The sequence below is a fragment of the Homo sapiens genome, chromosome 12, assembly GCF_000001405.40.
Source record: "Homo sapiens chromosome 12, GRCh38.p14 Primary Assembly".
Lineage (NCBI taxonomy): Eukaryota > Metazoa > Chordata > Mammalia > Primates > Hominidae > Homo > Homo sapiens.
Genome location: NC_000012.12, coordinates 27,145,487 through 27,172,929, shown reverse-complemented (window position 1 = coordinate 27,172,929; position 27,443 = coordinate 27,145,487). Strand labels below are relative to the sequence as shown.

At 39.4% G+C, this 27,443-nt stretch overlaps 1 pseudogene, besides 1 other annotated feature; it reads right to left on the bottom strand.

Annotated features, from left to right (window-relative positions):
- Window positions 1-27,443, bottom strand: part of LOC124902904 (liprin-beta-1-like) — a 98,657-nt pseudogene that overhangs the window by 25,856 nt on the left and 45,358 nt on the right.
- Window positions 8,318-8,377: an enhancer, noted in NCBI's record as "active region_6132". NCBI's record gives its function as "activates an Ori minimal core promoter by ATAC-STARR-seq in GM12878 lymphoblastoid cells {active_cell/tissue: GM12878}" and the evidence as "EXISTENCE:reporter gene assay evidence [ECO:0000049][PMID:35858748]".

Sequence of the window (27,443 nt, the reverse complement as noted above, 5' to 3'; positions counted from 1 at the left end):
ACTCTGTCACCCAGGCTGGAGTGCAGTGGTGTCATCATGGCTCAGTGCAGCCTTGACCTCCCTAGGCTCAGGTGATCTTCCCACTACAGCTTCCCAAGTAGCTGGGATTACAGGTGCATGCCACCACAGCTGGCTAATTTTCATACTTTTTTGTAGAGATGGGGTTTTGCCATGTTGCCCAGGCTGGTCTCCAATTCCTGAGCTCAAGTGATCCACCAGCCTTAACCTCCCAAAGTGCTGGGATTACAGGCTGAACCACCACACCCAGCCCCTACTTAATTGTGTTGAAAGAATGTTCACTGGCACTAGGAAGGTTCTGGGGAGCTGGGGAGCTCTGACTGGTGAGTGAAGGTGGTGGGTAAAACTAATCTTAGAGTTGCAGCAGGTTGAGTAGCCATTAGGTAAAACTGGTTTCAGGTTACAGCAGGCAGTTTCAGCAGCCAGGTTTGCAGAGAATTACATTCTTGGAGCAATGTTATGAGCCCTGAGTACCTTGACTCTGTTTTAGTTGGGTATGACAAGAGTGACCTATTAAATAATTTGCATAATCAACGTTCACAGCAACATTATTAACAATAGCCACAGTAGAAGTGGCTGGCAAGTTGGCCAAATAGGAGCTGCTCTGGTCTGCAGCTCCCAGCAAGATCAATGCAGAAGGCAGGTGATTTCTGCATTTCCAACTGAGGTACATGGCTCATTTCATTGGGACTGGTTAGACAGTGGGTGCAGCCCACGGAGGGTGAGCCAAAGGAGGGTGGGGCGTCACGTCACCTGCGAAGCATAAGTGGTCGAGGAACTCCCTCCCCTAGCCAAGGGAAGCCATGAGGGACTGTGCCATGAGGAATGGTGCATTCTGGCTCAGATACTGTGCTTTTCACACGGTCTTCACAACCAGCAGACGAGGAGATTCCCACAGGTGCCTACACCACCAGGGCCCTGGATTTCAAGAACAAAACTGGGTGACTATTTGAGCAGACACCAAGCTAGCTGCAGGAATTTCTTTTTCCATACCCCAGGGATGCCTGGAACACCAGCGAGATAGAACCATTCACTACTCTGGAAAGGGGGCTGAAGCCAGGGGGCCAAGTGGTCTAGCTCAGTGGATCGCATCCCCACGGAGCCCAACAAGCTAAGATACACTGGCTTGAAATTCTTGCTGCCAGCATAGCAGTCTGAGGTCAACCTGGGATGCTTGAGCTTGCTGGGTGGAGGGGCGTCCACCATTACTGAGGCATGAGCAGGCAGTTTTCCCCTCACAGTGTAAATAAAGCCACTGGGAAGTTTGAACTGGGTGTAGCATACCACAGCTCAGCAAAGCCACTGTAGCCAGACTGCCTCTCTAGATTCCTCCTCTCTGGGGAGGGCATCTCTGAAAGAAAGGCAGCAGCCCCAGTCAGGGGCTTACAGATAAAACACCTATCTCCCTGGGACAGAGCACCTAGCGAAAGGGGCCACTATGGCCACAGCGTCAGCAGACTTAAACATTCCTGCCTGCTGGCTCTGAAGAGAGCAGCGGATATCCCAGCACAGCGCTCAAGCTCTGCTAAGGGACAGACTGCCTTCTCAGGTGGGTCCCTGACCCTGTGCCTCCTGACTAGGAGACATCTCCCAGCAGGGGTCGACAGACACCTTATACAGGAGAGCTCTAGCTGGCATCTGGCAGGTCCCCCTCTGGGACAAAGCTTCCAGAGGAAGGAACAAGCAGCAATCTTTGCTGTTCTGCAGACTCTGCTGGTGATACACAGGCAAACATGGTCTGGAGTGGACCTCTAACAAACTCTAGTAGACTTGCAGCAGAGGAGCCTGACTGTTAGAAGGAAAATTAAAAAACAGAAAGGGATAGCATCAACATCAACAAAAAAGATGTCCACACAAAAACCCCATCCAAAGATCACCAACATCAAAGACCAAAGGTAGATAAATCCATGAAGATGAGGAAACACCAGCACAAAAATCCTGAAAATTCCAAAAGCCACAAGGTCTCTTCTCCTCCAAAGGATCACAACACCTCGCCAGCAAGGGAACAAAGCTGGATGGAGAATGAGTTTGACAAATTGACAGAAGTATGCTTCAGAAGGTGTGTAATAACAAACTCCTCCAAGCTAATGGAGCATGTTCTAACCCAATGCAAGGAAGTTAAGAACCTTGTAAAAAGGTTAGAGGAATTGCTAACTAGAATAACCAGTTTAGAGAAGAACATAAATCACCTGATGGAGCTGAAAAACACAGCACGAGAACTTTATGAAGCACACGCAAGTATCAATAGCCGAATCAATCAAGCAGAAGAAAGGATATCAGAGATTGAAGATCAACTTAATGAAATAAAGTGTGAAGACAAGATTAGAGAAAAAAGAATCCAAAGGAATGAACAAAGCCTTCAAAAATATGGGGCTATGTGAAAAGACCAAATCTATGTCTGATTAGTGTACCTGAAAGTGACGGGGAGTATGGAACCAAGTTGGAAAACACTCTGCAGGATATTATCCAGGAGAACTTCCCCAACCTAGCAAGGCAGGCCAACATTCATATTCAGGAAATACACAGAATATCACAAAGATACTCCTTGAGAAGAGCAACCACAAGACACATAATCATCAGATTCACCAAGGTTGAAATGAAGGAAAAAATGTTAAGGGCAGCCAGAGAGAAACGTGGGGTTACCCACAAAAAGAAGCCCATCAAACTAATAGCAGATATCTCTGCAGAAACCCTACAAGCCAGAAGAGAGTGGGAGCTAATATTCAACATTTTTAAAGAAAATAATTTTCAACCCAGAATTTTATATCCAGCCAAACTAAGCTTCGTAAGCAAAGGAGAAATAAAATCCTTTACAGACAAGCAAATGCTGAGAGATTTTGTCATCACCAGGCCTGTCTTCCAAGAGCTCCTGAAGGAAGCACTAAACATGGAAAGGAACAACCAGTACCAGCCACTGCAAAAACATGCCAAATTGTAAGACCATTGACACTATGAAGAAACTGCATCAACTAACAGGCAAATAACCAGTTAGCATCATAATGACAGGATCAAATTCACACATAACAATATTAACCTTAAATGTAAATTGGCTAAATGCCCCAATTAAAAAATGCAGACTGGCAAATTGGATAAAGAGTCAAGACCTATTGGTGTGCGGTATCCAGGAGACTCATGTCACATGCAAAGACACACATAAGCTCAAAATAAAGGGATGGAGGAGGATTTACCAAGCAAATGGAAAGCAAAAAAAAAAAAAAAAAAAAAAAAAAAAACCCAAAACAAAAACAAACAAACAAACAAAAAAACAACCAGGGGTTGCAATCCTAGTCTCTGATAAAACAGACTTTAAACCAACAAAGATCAAAAGAGACAAAGAAGGTCATTACACAATGGTAAAGGGATCAACTCAATAAGAAGAGCTAATTGTCCTAAATGCACCCAATAAAGGAGCACCCAGATTCATAAAGCAAGTTCTTAGAGACCTACAAAGAGACTTAGACTCCCACACAATAATAGTGGGAGACTTTAACACCCCACTGTCAATACTAGACAGATCAATGAGACAGAAAATTAACAAGGATATCCATGACTTGAACTCAGTTCTGGACCAAGGCGGACCTAATAGACATCTACAGAACTCTCTACCCAAATCAATAGAATATACATTCTTCTTAGCACCACATCACACTTATTCTAAAATTGACCACATAATTGGAGGTAAAACACTCCTCAGCAAATGCAAAAGAATGGAAATCATAACAGTCTCTCAGACCACAGTGCAATCAAATTAGAACTCAGGATTAAGAAATTCCCCCAAAACTGCAAAATTACATGGAAAATGAACAACCTGTTCCTGAATGACTACTGGGTAAATAACAAAATTAAGACAAAAATAAATAAGTTCTTTGAAACCAATGAGAACAAGGATACAATGTACCAGAATCTCTGTGACACAGCTACAGCAGTATTTAGAAGGAAATTTATAGCACTAAATGCCCACAGGAGAAAGTGGGAAAGATCTAAAATCAACACCCTAACATCACAATTAAAAGAACTATAGAAGCAAGAGCAAACAAATTCAAAAGCTAGCAGAAGACAAGAAATAACTAAGATCAGAGCAGAACTGAAGGAGATAGAGACACGAAAAACCCTCCAAAAAATCAATGAATCCAGGAGCTGCTTTTTTGAAAAGATTAACAAAATAGACTACTAGCCAGACTAATAAAGAAGAAAAGAGAGAAGAATCAAATAGACACAATAAAAAATATAAAGGGTATATCACCAATGATCCCAAAGAAATACAAACTACCATCAGAGAATACTATAAACACCTCTATGAAAATAAACCAGAAAATCTAGAAGAAATGGATAAATTCCTGGACACATATACCCTCCCAAGACTAAACCAGGAAGAATTTGAATCCCTGAATAGACCAATAACAAGTTCTGAAATTTAGGCAGTAACTAATAGCCTACCAACCATAAAAAGCCCAGGACCACACGGATTCACAGCTGAATTCTACCAGAGGTACAGAGAAGAGATGGTACCATTCCTTCTGAAACTATTCCAAACAACAGAAAAAGAGGGAATCCTCCCTAACTCATTTTATGAGGCCAGCATCATACTGATTCCAAAACCTGGCAGAGACACAACAAAAAAAGAAAATTTCAGGCCAATATCCCTGATGAACATCAATGCAAAAGCCCTCAATAAAATACTGGCAAACCAAATCCAGCAGCACATCAAAAAGCTTATCCACCACGATCAAGTTGCCTTCATCCCTGGGATGCAAGGCTAGTTTAACATTTGCATATTGATAAATGCAATCTATCACATAAACAGAACCAATGAGAAAAACCACGATTATCTTAACAGATGCAGAAAAGGCCTTCGATAAAATTCAACACCCCTTCATGCTAAAAACTCTCAACGAAGTAGGTATTGATGGTACATATCTCAAAATAATAAGAGCTATTTAGGACAAAGCCACAGCCAATATCTTACTGAATGGGCAAAAGCTGGAAGCATTCCCTTTGAACACTGGCACAAGACAAGGATGCCCTCTCACACCACTCCTACTCAACACAGTGTTGGAAGTTCTGGCCAGGGCAATCAGGCAAGAGAAAGAAATAAAGGTATTCAAATAGGAAGAGAGGAAGTCAAATTGTCTCTGTTTGCAGATGACATGATTGCATATTTAGAAAACCCCATCGTCTCAGCCCAAAATCTCCTAAAACTGATAAGGAACTTCAGCAAAGTCTCAGGATACAAAATCAATGTGCAAAAATCACAAGCATTCCTATACACCAATAACAGACAGACAGCCAAATCATGAGCACACTCCCATTTACAATTGCTACAAAGAGAATTAAATACCTAGGAATACAACTTACAAGGATTGTGAAGGACTTCTTCAAGGAGAACTACAAACCGCTGCTCAAGGAAGTAAGAGAGGACACAAACAAATGGAAAAACATTCCATGCTCATGGATAGGAAGAATCAATATTGTGAAAATGGGCATACTGCCCAAAGTAATTTATAGATTCAGTGCTATTCCCATCAAACTACCATTGACTTTCTTCACAGAATTAGAAAAAAAGCTATCTTAAATTTCGTATGGAACCAAAAAGGAGCCCGTATAGCCAAGGCAATCCTAAGCAAAAAGAACAAAGCTGGAGGCATCACACTACCTGACTTCAAACTATACTACAAGGTTACATTAACCAAAACAGCATGGTACTCGTACCAAAACAAATATATAGACCAATGGAACAGAACAGAGCCCTCAGAAATAACACTGCACATCTACAACAATCTGATCTTTGACAAACCTGACAAAAACAAGCAATGGGGAAAGGATTCCCTATTTAATAAATGGCGTTGGGAAAACTGGCTAGCCATATGCAGAAAACTGAAAATGGACCCCTTCTTTACACCTTATACAAAAATTAATTCAAGATGGATTAAAGAATTAAACATAAGACCTAAAACCATAAAAACCCTAGAAGTTTTATGCCTGAATGGCAATACCATTCAGGACATAGGCATGGGCAAAGACTTTATGACTAAAACACCAAAAGCAATGGCAACAAAAGCCAAAATTGTCAAATGGGATCTAATTAAAATAAAGAGCTTCTGCACAGCAAAATAAACTATCATCAGTCTACAGGCAACCTACAGAATGGAAGAAAATTTTTGCAATCTATCCATCTGACAAAGGGCTAATATCCAGACTCTACAAAGAACTTAAACAAATTTACAAGAAAAAAAACAAACAATTCCATCAAAAAGTAGGTGAAGGATATGAACAGATACTTCTCAAAAGAAGACATTTATGTGGCCAAGAAACATATGAAACAAAGCTCATCGTCACTCGTCATTAGAGAAATGCAAATCAAAACCACAATGAGATACCATCTTACACCAGTTAGAATGGCAATCATTAAAAAGTCAGGAAACAACAGATGCTGGAGAGGATGTGAAGAAATAGCAACACTTTTACACTGTTGGTGGGACTGTAAATTAGTTCAACCATTGTGGAAGACAGTGTGGTGATTCCTCAAGGATCTAGAATCAGGAATACCATCTGACCCAGCAATCTCACTACTGGGTATACACCTAAAGGATTATAAATCATTCTACTATAGAGACACATGCACACGTATGTTTATTGCAGCACTATTCACAATAGCAAAGACTTGGAAGCAACCCAAATGCCCATCAATGATAGACTGGATAGAGAAAATATGGCACTTATACACCATGGAATACTATGCAGCCATAAAAAAGGATGAGTTCATGTCCTTTGCAGGGGCATGGATGAAGCTGGAAACCATCATTCTCAGCAAACTAACACAGGAACAGAAAACCAAACACCACATGTTCTCACTCATAAGTGGGTATTGAACAATAAGAACACATGGACACAGGGAAGGGAACATCACACACTGGGGCCTGTCAGGGGGTGGGGGACTAGGGGAGGAGTAGCATTAGGAGAAATACCTAATGTAGATGACAGGTTGATAGGTGCAGCAAACCACCACGGCACATGTATACCTATGTAACGAACCTACACGTTCCGCACATGTATCCCAGAACTTAATGTATAATAAAAACCAAAACCAAACAAACAAAAAATAGCCACAATATGGAAACATCCAGCATATCCATCAACAGATGAGTGAGTTTTAAAATGTGGTATATATACACAATAGAATACTGTTCATCCTAAAAAAAAAAAATAGGAAATTCTGTCATTTGTAACAACATGGATGAACTAGAGGACATTATGCTAAGTGAAATAAGCCAGGCACAGAAAGACAAATACCATATGATCTCACCTATTTGTGGAGTCTAAAAAAAGTCAAACTCATAGAAGTAGAGGGTAAGGCCAGGTGCGGTGACTCATGCCCGTAATCCCAGCACTTTGGGAGGCTGAGGCAGGTGGATCACTTGAGGCTGGGAGTTCAAGGCCAGCCTCGCCAACATGGTGAAACCCTGTCTCTACTAAAAATACAAAAATTAGCTGGGTGTGGTGTCATACGCCTGTAATCCCAGGTACTCAGGAGGCTGAGGCACAAGAATCGCTTGAACCCAGGAGACGGAGGTTGCAGTGAGCCGAGATCTCACTAGAGGCCAGTGGGGGTGGAGGTGGTGGGGAAAGGGGAGGGATTGGTCAAGTGGTACAAAGTTTCAGTTAGGAGTAATAAGTTCTAGTGATCCATTATTGCATAGCCTGGTGACCATAGTTAGTAATACTTTATTATATATTTCAAAACAGTAAAAAAAAAAAGAGGATTTTTAATGTTCTCACCATGAACGAAAAATGTTTACAATACATAAAATGTTTACAATACAAAAAATACTTTTTCTTAAAGCAAAAATACTTTACTTACTGTACTTCCCATTTTTCGAAAAATAGATGCATAAACAATAGTCTAGAAAGCTATGTCTAGATAGTAGGATCTTGCATGATTCTTTCTTTGAAGTGCCTACATGTGTTTTCTGATTTGGTACAACAACATGTATAAATTCTATATATAAAAGTGCCACACCAAGCTCACAGTGTAGATCCTGAAACTAGATCTCACAACAGCTGCTTTATTTGGTAAGTGATCTCAAGGAATAGGAGGGGGGAGGTGGAAGAGTGACACTGGGCTGGAAGGAAAGCCAAATCAAGGATGGGTTATAAAGCTGACCACCACCATGGGAAACTGAGGTGTTCTTTCTAGAAATCCTTCCAAAGAGCCATGTAGAATGAACCTCATCATTGTCTGCCTGAGGGAGATAAGATGGAAGGATTTATCCACGGCTTCTCTCCCCACTGGTCAAAGGTGTTCAGTTCCTCCTATTTCCAGATTTGCACATTTGACAGAAGGGCTAAGAAGGCTGCTGCAGGTGTCCCACTGACTACATCAGAGAAGCCTCAGGGCAGAAAACAACAGCTTGACAGAGCAGCTGGAGTGAGCTGCTGAAATGTAACTGAAGTGAAAAGGAGGAGGTGAGAGGGTGAGCATACATGCACCTTATATAATATAATGTTGTATAACATTAGAGATGGAAATATCTAGTTTTTCAAGCTGTGACTTTCTTGTTAATTAGAATATTATAAGTCCCATGAGTAAGAGCAATTGTAACAGAAAAGGCCAAATGGAAGCCCCTGAAACTGCCAAATCCCCATCCAGCCAAGATAGTAAATAAAAACCATATCACATCTCCAAGGGACATAGAAGAGATTACAGCCACCCTCAAAGACTTAAAGGATGCAAGGGTAGTTGTTCCCATTGAGTTACCATTCTCGCATCTATAAAAACCAGATGGTAAATGACTGTGTACTTTTTTAGTTTAACAAAGGAGTAGTCCCAATTGCAGCTACTGCACTGGGTGTGATATCTTTACTAGAGAAGATTAATACAGCCTCTAGTATGTAGTATGCCATCATTGATCTGATGAAATAGTCTTTTCATACCAATCAAAAAAGAGGATCAATGCAGTTTGCATTAGCAGGAAATGACAATGGTATAAATTCACAGGATTGCCCCAGGACTATATTAGTTCTTCTCTTATTTTCTGTCATAGGGATCTATACTATCTGGTCATTTCACAAAAATTACATTGGTCTACTATTTTGAGGATACATGATAATGAGCAAGATGTGGCATGTACTGTAGATGCCTTCATAGATATGTATAATCCAGAGGGCACAACATTAACCCTATGAAGATCCAGAGGCCTGCCAGATTAGGACAGGACATGTACTGATGGCCCCTTCAAAGTAAAAAGTAGTTTGCTGCATCTTTCACTGCCTACTTGTAAGAAAGAAGCACACCACTTGTTAGGCTCCCTTGGTTTTGCTTGTGGAACATTCCACACTGGTGGAATGCAGCTCCTGGCAGGCTACTGGGCCCCTATAGGCTGAGGACTTCACCACGGGACACCAAGTGGCCATATGGCCAGAACAGCTCATCATGAGCCAGATGATCTCAAAGACCCAAGTTACAAGGATAGGTGGGCTCAGCCGGAATCTAATGTAAGAGGAAGCAGTACACTGGAGAATGTGCTTGAGCAGGTGCACAAGGCACAGATAAGCTGCAGGAAAGGTGGCCAGGCTCCCTAAGCCCCCTGCTGTGGCACTGACTGACATCTCTTCCTTGGCTCTCACCAATGACTTCATGGTGGTTTTTCTATGACTAGCGAACAGAGGAGAGGAACTCAAGCTTGACTCACAGACAGGTCAGCTTGGTGAAGTTGGTAGGTGTTGATAATGGACTGATGCCCACAACACTCCCATTCACAAGTGACCTTGAAAGACCATAGTGTGGGCAAAGACAGCAGTGAGGCAAATCTTCTCAATGGAAAAGCCATTTTAGAAAAAATATTAAATTGCCTTTGTATATATTTATGTATTAACATTCTTACATGTATTACCTCTACTTGCAGATTTATATACGGCTTACAAATATTTTTATTGAGTATTGTTTAAGTGATCTGGATTTAAATCACACCATCGGTTTAAAAAAAATAGGCATTTTGATATTATTAACAATGTTGGCTGGGTGTAGTGGCTCACTCCTGTAATCCCAGCACTTTGGGAGGCCGGGAAGTTGGGAGGATCTCTTGAGCCCAGGAGTTTGAGACCAGCCTAGGCAACATAGCGAGACCTAGTCTGTACAAAAAAAAATTTTTAATTAGCCAGGTGTGATGGTGCATGCCTGTAGTCCCAGCTACTTGGGAGGCTGAGGTGAGAGGATTGCTTCAGCTAGGGAGGTTAAGGCTGCAGTGAGCGGTGATCACACCACTGCACTCCAGCCTGGGCAACAGTGTGAGACCCTGTCTCAAAAAACAAACAAACAAACAAACAAACAAAAACAATGTTAGTAGGAGAGAAAAGAAGGAGAAGACTTCTAAGACCATATGGAAATCATGCATAAGAAATAATAGGCTCTTAGGGAACTCTATTATTATTGCCTCAGCAAGGGGAGATTTGGTAGGCCTTGGCAAAACAACAAGAAGCCAAATTGGAATAAGAGAAAGACAACAGCATTTCAGAAACAAACAAATGCAGCTTTGAGTCAAGGCTCTGTCACTTCCAGAGAGTATGACTTTGGAAAAGTTATTTAACCTCTCTGGACCTCAGTTTCCTCCTTTGTAAAATGAGACTGATGATATCTTAACTAGATTCTTGATGGGCATATCAAGTACAGTTGTACAGCCTGTGAACAAGGGAACCTAGTGGAAGAGGTGAGAAGGGACTAGCATCCCACCTGAGCTCAGATCACTGGACAGCATCTATCTTGCAGAAGTTCTGTTTATAGTTTGCACAAGGCCCCTATAGGTTACCTCAGGCCTAGTTGTTCTAAGGATTTAAGAGACATCACATTTGTAAAGCACTTAGTAAGCAGCAATCAATGGTAGCTGCTATTGTATTCTGTCAGTTACTGAAAACCTACACGGCAAACAGAAGTCAGGACCCAGCTCTGTGTGATAGAGATGGCCACAACAGGAAGGGCAGGTCTCTGACAGAGTCTGCTTCCCCAGGGACTCTAAAGGACATAAGGGCAGGGACCTGTCTTACTCACCTCTGATGTTCCGGGCAGTTAGCTGACGATAAATTTTTGTTGAGTGATTGAGTAAACAGAAGGATCCTCTTCCCTTTTGTTTTTGTTTTTGAAAAAGTAACAGTAATAAAAACGTCTTTGAAAATATTTGCTTGGATGCGTTCTTGAGCGCCTTCTTCTCCTATGTTGGTTTTCAGTTCACCAGTTCTCAGACTGAGTTTTCTCGTTTTGAGGCCACTTACAGGGTAAATTTAGGTCTGTGTTCAGAGTATGTCACTTCACTGTCTTACATTTAGAAAGAGAATCCTCAAATAACAAAACCAAGCAATAACAACTCCACAGATTCTCCAAGCTTGTTCTTTGTCGTGTTTGCCATGTAATCAAACTTTCAGCCCCACAGAAGTGGAACTAAACCACCCATAATGTTACATTGATCAAACTTAAGTCTGATTTCTTTAGAGTCTTTCGGCTGATGCTTGTTGTCTCTTCCTTTCTTTTAGATTACTGAATGAGTCTGGCTCTTTAAATTACGCTTAGTGAACTCAATGATTGCTGAGGACAGCAACTAGGACTGGAAGAAATTGTCTGCTAAGTGGTAGAAAAACCCTCTCATGGTCCCACCCAGACTCCTCCTCATCTTCCAATGTGCACTGGAGACTCAAACCACACCATGACCCCGTTAGCAGCATAGGGAGGTTCCAGAATGGTCCTCTTCAGTGATAACGAGGGAATACATCTGAGGTAGGTTTCATCTTCCCCTAAACAAAACTGGCAATGGAATCTAGCAAAATAATCTTTTCAGTTTAACAAATTTAATTTTTCTATAGTTGCCTCTGAGTTAGGCAACTAGATCTAAAATATGATGTGATGTGATAAAATGCAATATGCCTTGCTAATATGGGTCACTTATTCTGTTTGTGTCCTACCCCTGTTCCACTGCTGGGTTGAATCCCTCACTTTCTCTTGGTTCACCAGTGACTAGGCTCATTAACTTGTCAGAATTAAACTTTACGTGTTGTGCTGCTAGTTTTTTTTTTTCTTTAACACAACCTATTTTTATTTCTTTTTAAAAAATTCAACTTTGATTTTAGATTCATGGGGTACATGTGCAGGCTTGTTACACTGGTATATTGCATGATGCTGAGGTGTGGGGTACAACTGACCCCTTCACCCAGGTAGTGAGGATAGTACCCAATAGGTAGTTTTCCAGTCCTTGCCCCTCTCCCTTCTTCCCCATTCTTGGAGTTCCCAGTGTCTATTGTTCTTATGTTTGTATCCATGTGTACCCAATATTTAGCTCCCACTTGTAAGTAAGAACATGTGGTATTTGGTTTTCTGTTCCTGTGTTAATTCTCTTAGAATAATGGCCTCCAGCTGCATCCTTGTTGCTACAAAGGACATGATTTTGTTCTTTTTGTGGCTGCATAGTATTCTATGGTGTATAAGTACCACATTTTCTTTAACCAATCCACCATGGATGGGCACCTAGGTTGATTTCATGTCTTTGCTATTGTGAATAGTGCTGTGATGGACATACAAGTGCATGTGTCTTTTTGGTAGAACGATTTCTTTTCCTTTGGGTATATACTCAGCAATGGGATTTCTGGGTTGAATGGTAGCTCTGTTTTGAGTTATTTGAGAAATCTCCAAAATGCTTCCCATGGCGGCTGAACTAATTTATTAATACATTCCTATCAGCAATGTGTAAGTGTTCCTTTTTCTCTGAAGCCTTGTCAGCATCTATTATTTTTTTACTTTTTATAATAGCCATTCCAACTGGTGTGAGATGGTATTTATTGTGGTTTTGATTTGCATTTCTCTGATGATTAGTCATGATGAGCATTTTTTAATGTTTGTTGGCTACCTGTATGTCTTCTTTTGAGAAGTGTCTGTTCATGTCCTTTGCTCATTTTTTAATGGAGTTGTTTTTTTGCTTGTTGACATGTTTAAGTTCCTTATAGATTCTGGATATTAGACCTTTGTTTGATGCATAGTTTGTGAAAACTTTCTCCCATTTCTGTAGGTTGTCTGTTTACTCTGTTGATAGTTTCTTTTGTTGGGCAGAAGCTCTTTAGTTTAATTAGGTCCCACTTGTCAATTTTTGGTTTTGTGATTGCTTTTGAGGTCTTAGCCATAAATTCCTTGCCCAGGCTGATGTCCAGAATGGTATTTCCTAGATTTTTTTTCTGGGGTTTTTATAGTTTGAGTTCTTACATTTAAATATTTGATCAGTCTTAATTTTTATACATGGTGACAGGTACGGATCTAGTTTTATTCTTCTGCATATGACTAGCCAGTTATCCTAGCATCATTATTAAAGGGAGTCCTTTCCCCATTGCTTCTTTTTGTCAGCTTTGTCAAAGATCAATTGGTTATAGGTGTATGATTTTATTTCTGGGTTCCCTATTCTGTTCCATTGGTCTGTGTGTCTGTTTTTGTACCAGTGCCATGCTGTTTTGGTTACTGCAGCCTTATAGAATAATTTGAAGTCAGGTAATGTGACGCCTCTGGCTTTGTTCTTTTTGCTTAGGATTGCTTTGGCGATTCAGGATCTTTTTTGGTTCCATGTGAATTTTAGAATAGTTTTTTTCTAATTCTTTGAAAAATGACGTTGGTAGTTTGATAGGAATAGTGTTGACTCTGTAGACTGATTTGGGCAATATGGCCATTTTAACAATATTGATTCTTCCAATTCATGAGCAAGAAATGTTTTTCCATTTGTTTGTGTCATCTCTGAGTTCTTTCAGCAGTGTTTTGTAGTTCTCCTAGAGATTTTTCACCTCCTTGGTTAAAGCTGTATCCCTAGGTATTTTATTTTTTGTGGCTATTGTAAATGGGATTGCATTTTTGATTTGGCTTGAACATTACTGGTGTATAAAAATGCTACTGATTTTGTACATTGGTTTTGTATCCAAACAACTTTACTGAAGTTGTTTATCAGTTCCAGGAGCCTTTTGGTAGAGTCTTCAGGGTTTTCTAGGTATAGAATCATATCGTCAGGGAAGACAGATAGTTTGACTTCTTTTCCTATTTGGATGCCTTTTATTTCTTTCTCTTGTTTGATTGCTCTGGCTAGGACTTCCAGTACTATGTTGAATAGGAGAGGTGAGAGTGGGCATTTTTGTCTTGTTCCAGTTCTTAAGAGGAATGCTTCCGGCTTTTGCCCACTCAGAATGATATTGGCGGCAGGTCTGTCATGGATGGCTCTTACTATTTTGAGGTATGTTCCTTCGATAGTGCTGCTTGTTTTAAACAGTGTTGAGAACTCCAGTCCCTGTAACTGTAACAGCAAAATTTCCCACAGAAGAGCAGCCTCAGTGAGCATAAGAAGGGGCCTTTGTTCTTCCTCAAAACAACTAATCCCTCTTGTAAATAGGCCTGCCATGCAACCCCGGAGACTTCTAAAGAGTTTTGTACTTGGAGCTTTCTTTAGTTCCTCCGAGCATGTTTCATTGTAACAGTGGGCCAGGTCTTCCGCTGGTTTTAACTGCGTATTTTGAGGTTGCTTTTAGGACAGCTGCTTTTAAGTTAATCTTTATATTCACTGACTTTGATGGAAAACAAACAGTATTATGTCGTTGCTTCTATATGAGCACAGGATTTCTTAGGATTAACTCTATTCAAGCCTAAATAGTAAACTTTTGGGCAAACATTTAAGAGAGTACATCACTGTAAATGCAGTTTATAATTTTTTTCTCATTAAATGAATTATATTCAGTAGATTTTCTTTACAGGAAAATGATAGAAGAAAGTTTAAAAATGACATTCTGCACAATCATTATATTTTGGAATGCTGCATTAGAAAATCACAAAAGATTTGAAAAGAGAAGGATACCAATCCTCAGATATGATTTTCTGTTTTTGATTCTAATAAAATAAGCCAAGTGTTCTGTTCCTGATCTACGGAGAAGTTCTAGGTTCCTTTAATATCAAAATCCTTCCTAATGCCTATCAAGTTATCTTTCTGAGGTACTCCCCAGGCTTCCCAATTAACTTCACAAACCCCACTTCACAGATTACCCAAAATAACAGAAAGAGGCCTTGTAAGGGAATGGTTAAGAGTATGAGCCTGATGCAAGACTAGCTCTACCCCTTACTACCTATGACAATGACAATGAGCAAGTTGCCTAAACTCTCTGTGCCTCATTTTCCCATCGTAAAATAGGAATAGGAACAATACATATCTCTGAGAGTTATTAGGATTAAATAAGTTAATATTTCTAAAGGGGTTAGAATAGTGCTTGGCAGGAATTACTACATAAATGTTGCTAAATTAAATTTTACCTAAGTCTAATCCTGACTTGCTTTTTCTCTCCAAAATCAGAAGGATTTATATCCCATAAATTTAGTGAAAAAAACTGTTCGTGATTTTTAATGCTGTTTATATAAATAACATATGTAATAAGTATCTTCAGGCTGGGTGTGGTGGCTCACACCTGTAATCCTAGCACTTTGAGAGGCCTAGATGGGCACATCACTTGAGGCCAGGAGTTTGAGACCAGTCTGGCCAACATGGTGAAACCCTGTCTCTACTAAAAATACAAAAATTAGCCAGACTTGGTGGTGTGCACCTGTAGTCCCAGCAACTAGGAAGGCTGAGGCAGGAGAATTGCTTGAACCCGAGATATGGAGGTTGCAATGAGCCAAAATCATGCCACTGCACTCCAGCCTGGGCGACAGAGCAAAACTCCGTTTCCAAAAATAAATAAATAAAATAATAATAATAAGTATCTTCATTATAGATTATAAACAATCTAGATGTCCAACAATAAACAAATTGTTAAATATTATTTAATTTTAAAAAGTAAAATACAAATTTATTTTCAATATGTGTTTAAGTGGAAAAAGCAGGTTACATAAAATAATGTACATTATGATTTAATTTTTATTGAAACAATATGTATTATAGAAGAAGGCAAAAGAAAAGTCTAAACAGATAGATACCAGAATGCTCCCAGTGTTATTTTGGGTGATGAAATGATGAGTGGTTTTTATTTTCTTCTTCTTTTTTTTTTTTTTTAAATCTAGATCTTCTAAATTGTCTCCAAGAACATTTGTGATTTATAAATAAAAAGAAATTAAGAATTTTAATAAAAACATAAATTTATGATCGTGGAAATTTATTTTCTTTCCATGGAAATCTCTAAGGAAAATGAAGAAATATACTGAATTCCTCTAATTAAATATAATCACAATTTTCATTAACCTCAAAGTTATCAAGGAAGAGCTATTTTAACCCATTGCCTTAGATATCATAAGATATAAAAGGTATTTTAAACAATTTTGCATTTATCAGCTTATATATTTTAATCATTTGTTCTCATTTTTATCGTACATTAGTTGTGGAGAAGTAGTGTAGTGTTGGTTTGTCTTATGTAATCTGACTTTTAAAACAACTCATTATACTAAATTTGAGAACTGAGGTAGATATTTTACAGATAAAATAATTTTTAATTATGTTTTTTGAATCTAGCAAGTAACAGAAATAAAAAGTTTTAAGGGATTATTTGTGAGGCAAGATAGATAACTACTTAGATTGGATAAATTTTCCAGGAGCCAGAGAGAAAAGTTATATATAATATCACCTTACCATTACTGTTATTAGGGAGATTTTATTAGGTCACTTCTGATTTTTGCCCTTCTTCAAGTGTGACTTTATTTATCCTCAAACGGACTTGTTGGTTTCTTCCAATCTCATCTCAGGCTTAAGCAAAATATTTGCGTGTTCCTCCTTTTTTTTCTTTTTTTAACTATGTTGAAGATTATCCTTCCTCTCTCATACTAAGAATCATAAACCTAAGAGCCAAAATACAGTACAACAGGAAACTAATAATTTGATATGTTTAAAATGTACAGATTTGAGGGATGTCGTCTGATTTTTGTTCCCCAACAGAACTGAAAAAAACCCATTTCTGCCACTTGTCGAATCAACTGTTAACCTTCTAACTCACACATTTTTCACGTATTAGAAATACCCGTTTTAACCTTGCTAAGTCTGTGCAATCATCTTCTCTAGCTCTCTTGCTTCTAAGAGGAATTCCCACTGGATTATTGAAAACTTTCTGCTTTGCTTTCCTTAAATCTGTTCTCAGATTTAGAAAAAAAGGTTCTGAAAAGAAGATGACCCAGTTTTCTAGAGTGAATAAAACTTTTCACACCACAGTGGAAATCTTACAGTATTTTTTTCAAAGTTGTAAGACGGTGAGGAAAGGGTATCTTTTTCTTCTTATTAGAAGTATTGAATAAAAGATATATAATATGTCAAAAATCTTACTTAGAAAATCTATGAACCAAAAATCTGTAAAGACAGCCCAGAAAACTACAAGGAGGTTAAAAAAAAGAAAAAAGTGAGGCAAAGCCTCTTTCTCTTGTAATCTAGCTTCTCTATGTATTGAAAGACTCAACGTGGCTTTCTATTTCAAATCTTACACTATGAAGACATTTGATTAACCAACGATATTAGGTTAATAAAATATTTTACTCAAGAAAACAGCCCTCTTATACCATATAAAAAGAGAAAAATATTCAAATAGAACTCAGAATAGAAAGTACTAAAACTCTTTTACTCTATGTAAGGAAATTACCAGATTTTTTTTTTCTGGAAGATTGGTAGTTTTTCATATTCTTTCTCATATGCAGTTCCCCTTAAATTTATTGCCCTTTTATCTTCTGCTAAATCCACAAGAAACATTTTAAAGATATTCTCTCACAGTACCTAAAAAGTTAACTAAGTTTTTTCTACTGTCTCCATAATCCATTCCAATTATTTACTTTTAAATTTTTAATTCATCCATTTATGTATTGATTCACAAATACTTATGGAGTGCCTACGATGTTTCAGTGACTGGGTTAGGCTCTAGGGATACCACGTATGGTGAGCATGAACAGGCACAGCTCACACACTTATGGAGCTGATAGGCAAATGAGGTACTCAGGTATGAATCAAATGATCACATTAGCGGAGGCAGAATTATGAACTGAGGTTCATGTTCTGAAAAAAAGAACAGTCTCAGAGAGTGGACCCTCACTTAGAGTAGGGGACAGGGAGAGCTTCCCTGGGCAAACAAAACAAGGCATCAAGAACCAAAATGAGGCTGAGCCTAAGATTTAATTTCCTTTCATAAAAACATTGCAGGAAGCCAACCACACTATTAATTCTAAAGGTGAGCAGAACAAAATTTCATCTGAACCCATTTTCTGACCAAAAGTGTTTCTTCTTTTCTCATAGAAAATGGTTAGCATATCTCATCGAAGCATTATACAGAGTACTTTTTTGTTACCTGGCTGTTTCCATGTATCTAAGTAAGAAAAAGAGTGAAAAAAATTCTCAGCATTTTTTCGCCATTTTGTTTCTCTGTCAAATAAATTATCTTTTTCAAATATTTTCTATATAAAAAGATGTTTCATTGATTCTTATTTGCAAATCTATTCCACAATATTGCTATTACAGATTCCAATTTATTCTTTTTCACCCTCTTTGGAAATCTGTAACTATATATCAAATTACTACTCACTTATGTTTCATTAAATGGAACAACTTAGATAATTTTTATTTCTACTTGTTGCTTTAGTACTATTTTAAAATCATTGTGAAGAAGATACTTTTAATTTATTTTTTGAGACAGGGTCTCACTCTGTCACCCATGCTGGAGTGCAGTGGTGTGATCTCAGCTCACTGCAGCCTCCACCTCCCAGGCTTAGGCGATCCTCCCACCTTAGCCTCCCGAGTAGCTGGGTCCACAGTCACACACCACCATAACCGGCTAATTTTTTGTATTTTTTGTAGAGATGGGATTTCACCATGTTGCCCAGGCTGGTCTTGAACTCCTAAGCTCAAGTGATCTGCCCGCCTTAGCCTCCCAAGGTGCTGGGATTATGGGTGTGAGCCACATGCCCAGCCAGAAAATACTTTTATATCAGACTTTCCCTAGAACTCCAAATATATTTGATCCCTTTTTACTTGGTTGCTTTTATCTGTTGCTTTTATTTATTTTGAAACAGGGTCTCACTGTCGCTCAGATTGGAGTGCAGTGGTGCAAATCATAGCTCACTGCAGCCTTGAACTTCTGGGCTCAAGCAATCCTCCTGACTCAGCCTTCTGAACACCTGGAATTACAGGTGTATGCCTCATGCCCAGATAATTTTTAAAATTTTTGTATGGATGGGGTCTCGTTTTGTCCCTAAGGCTGGTCTTGAACTCTTGGTCTCAAGCAATCCTCCAACCTTGGCCTCCCAAAGTGCTGAGATTATAGGCGTGAGCCACTGTGCCAAGCCTCTTTTTATTTTTTTAAAGTTTATTCTTATTACAAAGCAAATACATGTCCTATAGAGAAAATAAGATTTTCAATAGTAAAATACAATAAAAACTTACCAATCCTGAACCAGAGATAACCACCATTAATATTTTGTTGTATACCTACATATAACTATATTTTTATATAATTTACTGGGTTTTCTCAGGATTTTCATGAAGTAGTTGAGTAAGCAAAAATGACAGCACTTTTTTCTTGGTTATAATTAATGATCTATTTACGGATTTTTTTTTTTTTTTTTTGAGATGGAGCCTTGCTCTATCATCCCAGGCTGGAGTGCAATGGCATGATCTTGGCTCACCGCAACCTCCGCCTCCTGGGTTCAAGCAGTTCTCCTGCCTCAGCCTCCCGAGTAGCTGGAATTACAGGCACGCCACCATGCCCAGCTAATTTTTGTATTTTTAGTAGAGATGAGGTTTCGCCATGTTCACCAGGCTAGTCTTGAACTCCTGACCTCAAGTGATCTGCTGGCCTCGGCCTCCCAAAGTGCTGGGATTACAGGCATGAGCCACCGCCCCTGGCCTATTTCTGGATTATTATTTGATTCAAATTTTTGTCAAATATCAAATTCTGTAAACCCTGAGTAGCTATTGTGTGGCTATTACAAAAATGGCATGATTCTTTTCTAAAACTATCACATAAATCATATTGGTACTATGTTAAAAAAATAGAGGTTTGTCTTATTTCAGTTATTTTACTCTAATTTTTATCTTTATTTTAAATTCTACTGGCTTTTTCCCTTATCTCATAAATTTCATATTTTTGCTATCAACACAGCATTTCAGTCTGTGGAGATCATTAGGAATCTCATTTTAGCTAACCCTCCTATTTTTGTGTCATCAACAAACTTAAAAATAATCTCTTCAAAGCCTTCATATAGATCATTAGTGAAAATGTTGAACATTTTGTAGAATATGTTAAGGCTGCCTAAGGGACAAGGACCAAGAGCAAAGTTGCTTCCTAACACAACTCTAGTGAAGACAACGGAAGGAAAAATAAGAAAGAGGCCAGTGGAAGCAGTAAAGACTTATTATGGTTGCATAGTTGGAAGTCCAGAATATGAGAAAGGAGAGAACTAAACCTACACTGCATATAAAAAACGGCACCCGCGGTGCCAGTAGCAAGAGAATCGGTGGAAGAATGCAGAAACCAATTCAAACAAATCTGTATAAATATTTGATGGTACATAAGGGAGGGCTATATATGAAATTGCAAAAGGTTGCATGTAAGTTTGTCTGGAATATTACAATAAAAATACATGCTTTTCAGCCAGGCTCGGTAGCTCACGCATGCAATTCCAGAACTTTAGGATGTTGAGGCAGGTGGATGGCTTGAGCCCAGGAGCTTGAGACCAGCCTGGGCAACATAGTGAGACATCATCTCTACAAAAAATACAAAAATTAGCTGGGCATAGTGGTGCATGCCTGAGATCCCAGCTCCCGAATATAGGAGGCTGAGGTGGGAGGATGGCTTGAGTCCAGGAGGCCAAGGCTACAGTGAGCTATGATTGCACCACTGCACTCCAGCCTGGGTGACAAAGTGAGACCCTGGATCAAAAAAAAAAAAAAGATACATGCTCTTCAGAGCTATTTAGAAGATGGAAGGAAGACTATTAATGATCCTTGCATCAGTGCATATGCTAGCCTACATGACACCTCTGTGTGAATTTGAAAAAGATGCCTCTTCCTCCTGGCTGACATAGCCCCACACAAGGACTTAGCGCTTGACAAGGAGAGCACAGGTTGAACCACAGCCCTCACTCACGCCTTAGCCAGGTGCCCCCGTGCACTGATCAGTGAGGTTTGCTGGGTCTCTCCACACCCCATTTCAGCTTTGCTAGCTGGCTCTCTGTTAAGCTCTGATGATAGGGGGGCTAGAGGGAGACTGAAATGTGGGAAGAGGAAGGAGGGACACACTTCATCCTGTGAGCTTCCTGTTTGCTTGTGGTTCTTGCTACTGGCACCCTATTAACTCTGCTTCACCATAGCAGCAGTTGGATCCAGTTTTCAGTTTCCCTACCACCTGCAGAAATAACTGGACTGCACCCCACCTCCCCACCAAGAGACACCAGCACCAAACCCCTCTTCAGAGACAGATCCCAGCTCCAAGAGACACTGCCTCCAAACTCAGAGACAACACCACCAACTGAGCAGTACCTTTCTCCTCAGATGTCTGAGTTTCAGCTTCATGCCGCTGCTCCTCTAAGTTTCTACATTTTAAGAATTCCAGCCTCTTACTTTTGTTCCCTCAGACCTAGAGGCGATTAAGAGTTCCCTGCAGTTGCTACCTCTGTAACATCTTAGATTTTTCTTTTCACCTTTTTGGTTACCAGGTTGACAATTTTATATTTCATTGACAATTCTTTTTTTTTTTTTTTAAGACAGTCTCACTCTGTCACCCAGGCTGGAGTGCATGGAGTGCAGTGGCTCAATCTCAGCTCACTGCAACCTCCACCCTCCCCACCCTGGGTTCAAGTGTCTGGCCTGTTGACAATTCTTTATATTAAATTATATTTATTGGTTGGGCGCAGTGGCTCACGCCTGTAATCTCAACACTTTGGGAGGCTGAGGTGGGCCAATCACATGAGGTCAGGGGTTCCAGACCAGCCTGGCCAACATGGCAAAACCCCATCTCTACTAAAAATACAAAAATTAGCTGGGCATGGTGGTGGGCGCCTGTAGTACCAACTACTCTGGAGGCTGAGGCAGAAGAATTGCTTGAACCCAAGAGGCAGAGATTGTAGTCAGCCAAGATCACACCACTGCACTCCAGCCTGGGCCACAGAGTACATGAGACTCTGTCTCAATAAATAAATATAAAAAATAAAAATTATATGTATTCAGGTAACTCTGCATAGTTCCTGTCTCTTGACTGAACCCTGAGTACACAAAGGAGAAGACAAATTAGAGCAATAAATCATCATAATCTATATACATTATTTTTCTTCAGGCATTACTTGGACTGTTCTAACATCAAAACTGCTCGATAAGAGGAAACAACTTTCCATCAGACTCGAATTGGGGATTCTTGCCAGAATTAAGGCTGTCACATACTGAAGGGCTAGCTGGCTTAGTTGGACTCCTGGTAGGAGAATGATAAACCCAGCCTATATCTTTCCAAAAGGGATGTACTAATCAGAAATAGGTTATTCTGCAGTAAACACCAGTCCTCTGACTAGTGATGGCTTACAGCAATTAATGTTTCTCTCTCTTGGAGGTTTCATAACAACTGAGGATCCATTACACCTTTGTTCTATGGCTCTTCCCCAAATATCTTTTTCATTTCATTGGAGACCTAAGCTGAAGGTATTGCCCCTACCCTTGTCTCACAGCAGAGGGAAAGGAATAAGAGTGGAATCATGCAATGGCTCACAAGCCTTCTGCTTGGAGGTGGTGTAAGTCACCTCCTCTTGCATTCCCTTGGTTAAAGCAAACCATATAGCCAAACCTGCTATCAGTGGGGCATTTTGGGTTAAGAGTTAACAAAATCTTTTCTCTGCTGTGTATGAATTTTAGCTTTAGTTAACATTCTAGTTCTGTTCCCCTAGAACCAGATTAGAGTACTATGTTAACAGTATTACTCAGCAACATTGCTTATAATAAAAAGGATCTCTGATTGGAAATTGCATCTGGAGTGGGAGGAACTATAAATGCACCATAAATATCTGATGGAGATTGTAGCTTCTAGCATCCTTGAATGTGCTGACTGTTTTAATTGAGTATGTGTAGTGATGCCAGAAATGACACATCTGAAGTTTGTTACAGGTGATATTGGCTCCTGTAGGGAATGAGACCTTAATTCAGGGTGGTTCCTGCACTTGCCTCATATGCATCACACCTTCATGCATTTGAGTTGTCTCTGGGCAGCTGCATAATTTGGAGGGACACCTGACACCACCTGTAGTTAATTGTGGTTCCTGTCTCATGTTTTCGTTTTTCTTTTCTTTCTTTCTTTCTTCTTCTTTTTTTTTTTTTTTGTCTTGAGACAGTCTCACTCTGTCACCAAGGCTGGAGTGCAGTGGCACGATCTCGGCTCACTGCAATCTCCACCTCCCAGATTCAAACGATCTTCCCACCTCAGCCCCCGATAGCTGGAATTACAGGCACCTGCCACTATGCACAGCTGATTTTTGTATTTTTACAAAAATTCACAGTGTTGGTTAGGCTGGTCTCGAACTCCTAACCTCAAGTGAGCTGCCCTCCATGACCTCCCAAAGTGCTAGGATTACAGGTACGAGCCACCACGCCCAGCCCTGTCCCATGTTTCTCTGAGTGAATCTGATGCCAAAGAGGTCTATGGTAGTTTTGTGAGTTTGAATCTTGACCTGAACATAATAATAGGTTTGATGCCATTGTGGGCACTGTAGGCAGAAATTCACATTCTGCCACAAGACATCAATATAAGAATGGATGTTCTTCTAACTGAAAGATGAACAGATAATTAGAAACAATAACAGTAGGAGGATTCTCCTAGAGGACCTAGGTACTTTTCATTAGACAACAGATTCATAGAAAACTACTGATCAATAGAGGAAAAATGGAAAGAGAAACACGTTTGTGGCTCAGAGAAACCTCACTTAGAAACCTGGCTCTGCTGCTTCCTGCCTGTAACCTGGGTGAGTTGCTTTACCCCTCTGAGCATAAGAATTCTCATCTATAAATTTACTATTTTTTTCAGGCATTTTTACTAAAAGAAAAAACTCAATTGGAACTCAGTTGAGAAAAAAAAAAAAAATCTAAAAGGGCACGAATGGTCCTGCAATCTAATGGACTTGAGTCTCCAGGACTCTTTCTTTGCCCCATCTGCAATTTTTTCAGTTTCTTGGCTTCATTCAATCCTACTCCAGGGACAGGATTTCTCTGTAGGACAGAGATGCTGCCAGCTCTGGCTTACATTCTTACCATGGGTATATATGACCCTTTCAAATTAATGATTTCATTTTAAAATGTAACTAAATGCTCTCTTACTATCTTACCTGTCTTCACTGAATTGCACTTCCTTATTTTAAAGGGTGATTGTTCTGTCATTTCCAGATTGAAGACAATCCTTGCTAGAGAAGTTGGGAAGAAAGAGTAAACTGATCATCATAAAGTTCTGCTGTCTAGTTCTGCTGACTTCATCAACATTATGGCATCTTTTCCAGAATGCTAGCCTATCCTTCACATGTTCTTGCTCAGAACATGGCTGGTATCTCATAGTGCCAGTCATCATTCATAATTACAAAGAAAGGTTAAATTTACCTTAGTGTCGCCAGATGTTATGCACATTATATTTCCAAATATAATTTTAAAAAATTTCATTCAGGCTATTTTCTATCATGTAAAACCTACTTTATTAGAAATGATGGTCCATATAATACTCAGAACAAACTTCTTCAGTTATGAAAAAAACTGGATAAATTCATGCATTTTTCCAAAAACAGAATTAGCCTATTTTTGCTTTCTAAAAGGTGTAGGGCTCAATCCCTGGTATAAAATTTTTACTAATTTTTCCAAAGATACAGAGCCATTTTTCTCTTCTCTCAAAAGGACAGAACAGTTTCAAAGTCCCTTACTTTATCTAATTTCAGTTCTGAGGGCAACGATCCCGGGACACAGGGATGGTTCTTTTTAACTCCTTTGGCATAAATTCCCTTGCATTTCAATTGAGACAAGTCCATTCTTGTGATGAGAATTTACAGTCTAGTAATCTTAAACACCAAATAAAGTATAGAATTCCCCTTTTCCAGCTGCTGAAGAGGAAGTTAATGGATTTCCAGTCACAGAAAAGAGTCTTAGAGAATCCCCTGTGGTTCTGGGCCTGGCTGGATTCTGCTGCTCTTTCTTTGATACTAAAACTACACATTGACTATCACTGGTTTCTTTTACAGATTTTGGAGGACTTTAACAAAATGAGATGATAAATGTGAAATATATCTTCTTACCTCTATCAACAATTTCAACCCCTTCTCCTTTCATCTTGCAAATCAATTTTTCTTGTAGCCTTTTTACTTCAGATTCCTTTTCTTCTAGTTGTTCTTTTAAAGATGTCAGTTCATCCTACAAGTTACAAATTCATTTAAAAATAGCAGATCATGACTGAAAAGGAACATTAAGAGAGCATATTAGCTCTTTAAATCAACAATCAGATTTTGTGAATGAAACAAATCTACAAGAATTTAGACGCGGCTGGGCGTGATGGCTCACGCCTGTAATCCTAGCATTGTGGGAGGCCAAGGTGGACGGATCACTTGAGGTCAGGAGTTTGAGACCAGCCTGGCCAACATGATGAAACCCCATCTCTGCTAAAAATACGAAAAACTAGCCGGGCGTGATAGGGCACATCTGTAATCCCAGCTACTCCTGAGGCTGAGGCAGGAGAATCGCTTGAATCGGGAGGCAGAGGTTGAAGTAAGCCAAGATTGCGCCACTGCACTCCAGCCTGGATAACAGAGGGAGACTCCGTCTCAAAAAACAAAAACAAAAACAAAAACAAAACAAAACCCCCAAAATTTACATGCAAGCATCAGAAATCAGACAAGGGCAATAAAAAGCAGGAAACAAGACTATCAGAAGGCCAGGCATGGTGGCCCATGCCTGTAATCCCAGCACTTTGGGAGGCCAAGGCGGGCAGATCACTTGAGATCAAGAGTTCAAGACCAGCCTGGCCAACATGGTGAAACTCCAACTTTACTAAAAATACAAAAAATCATCTGGAGTGGCGACGTGCACCTGCAATTCCACCTACTCCGGAGGCAGAGGCAGGGGAATTGCTTGAACCCAGGAGGTGGAGGTTGCAGTAAGCCAAGGTTGCATCACTGCACTCCAGCTTGGGTGACAGAGTGAGATTCCGTCTCAAAAAAAAAAAAAAAAAAAAAAAAAAAAAAGGATTATAAGCAGAAGTCCCATTTATAATAGTTATTGTATAATTATTTCAAGTTTCTTTGTAATCAAATTAAAAAGAGATCTTTTAAAGAGTAATTAGGGATAGGATAGCCCTAAGGTTTAAATCTTACATCAAATTTAAAAATATGACCAAGTTAATCAAGGAAGATAATCAAATTAGAAAATTAGATACTTAGTGTCATAAAAGCAAAATAAAATGCAAATTGGAAAAGACTAGCTTGACATTTATTTGGCATTTCAAGTTGGCACTCATGCTTCCTTGACAAGCACAGAGTTTCATTCATGGGTAAGGTAGCAAGTCATGAACAACTTTAGCCAAATCAGGGAACTAAATAATTCACCCACATCACTAAGATAAAAGGACAGAATCTCCTACAACAATGGGAAAAATAAATTTAGAAAACAGTGAAGCCCTCTTTTAATTTTTAACTATAAAACTGTATATAAGATTTCAAGTCCATCCTTCTATGTACTCATGTTTAAATTTTCAGTTTCCTTTCAGTAAAGAATTAGCTTTAGCAAACAAATTTTGCTGGCTGTACTTAACACAGAAAATACAGCTATGCAATGCTAAGAAGTACAGCTTTATATTCAACATCACATTTTACTTTCAGAATCTCTAAAGATATATTTATTACATTTAGTACTATGAGAAGATGTAGTTCTCCAATGAAGTGAGGCACTTGGCCCTATAGTTTTGACTTCTAGTAGGAGCAGAGTGGACAAGTACAAAAAGTCTTCAGTAGCACTGGCAGGAAGTGTGAACCTGTTCTCACCGTGCTGCTTCTCAGCAGTCATTTCTATTCACAGTCATGATAATATCAACTGCTGTACATTTACCATCAAGAAAGTCCCTAAAAAGGAAAATGACCTCTACTGTGGATATGAAACAGAATTCTTTCACAAGCTAATGTTTACAATTATTTTACTAGGCTTGGGTCTCAGTCTAAGAGAGTGTAATTTATAAATTCTTTCATTTTACGTTTATTATTTTTCACTAATTATTTCATGTATTTCTGAAAACAACATCAGGGATCCCATTGTTCCTTCAATCAGCTTGAGGTGATTTTTAATCAACAGGTGACACACACAGAATGAATGCACATGCCACTAAAAACATCATCACAGCAAAACAACACAAGCCAGAAAGCAACAGGCCATGGACCCCATCACCCAACGTCTACTACACCTTCAGTGACTCCCATTTTT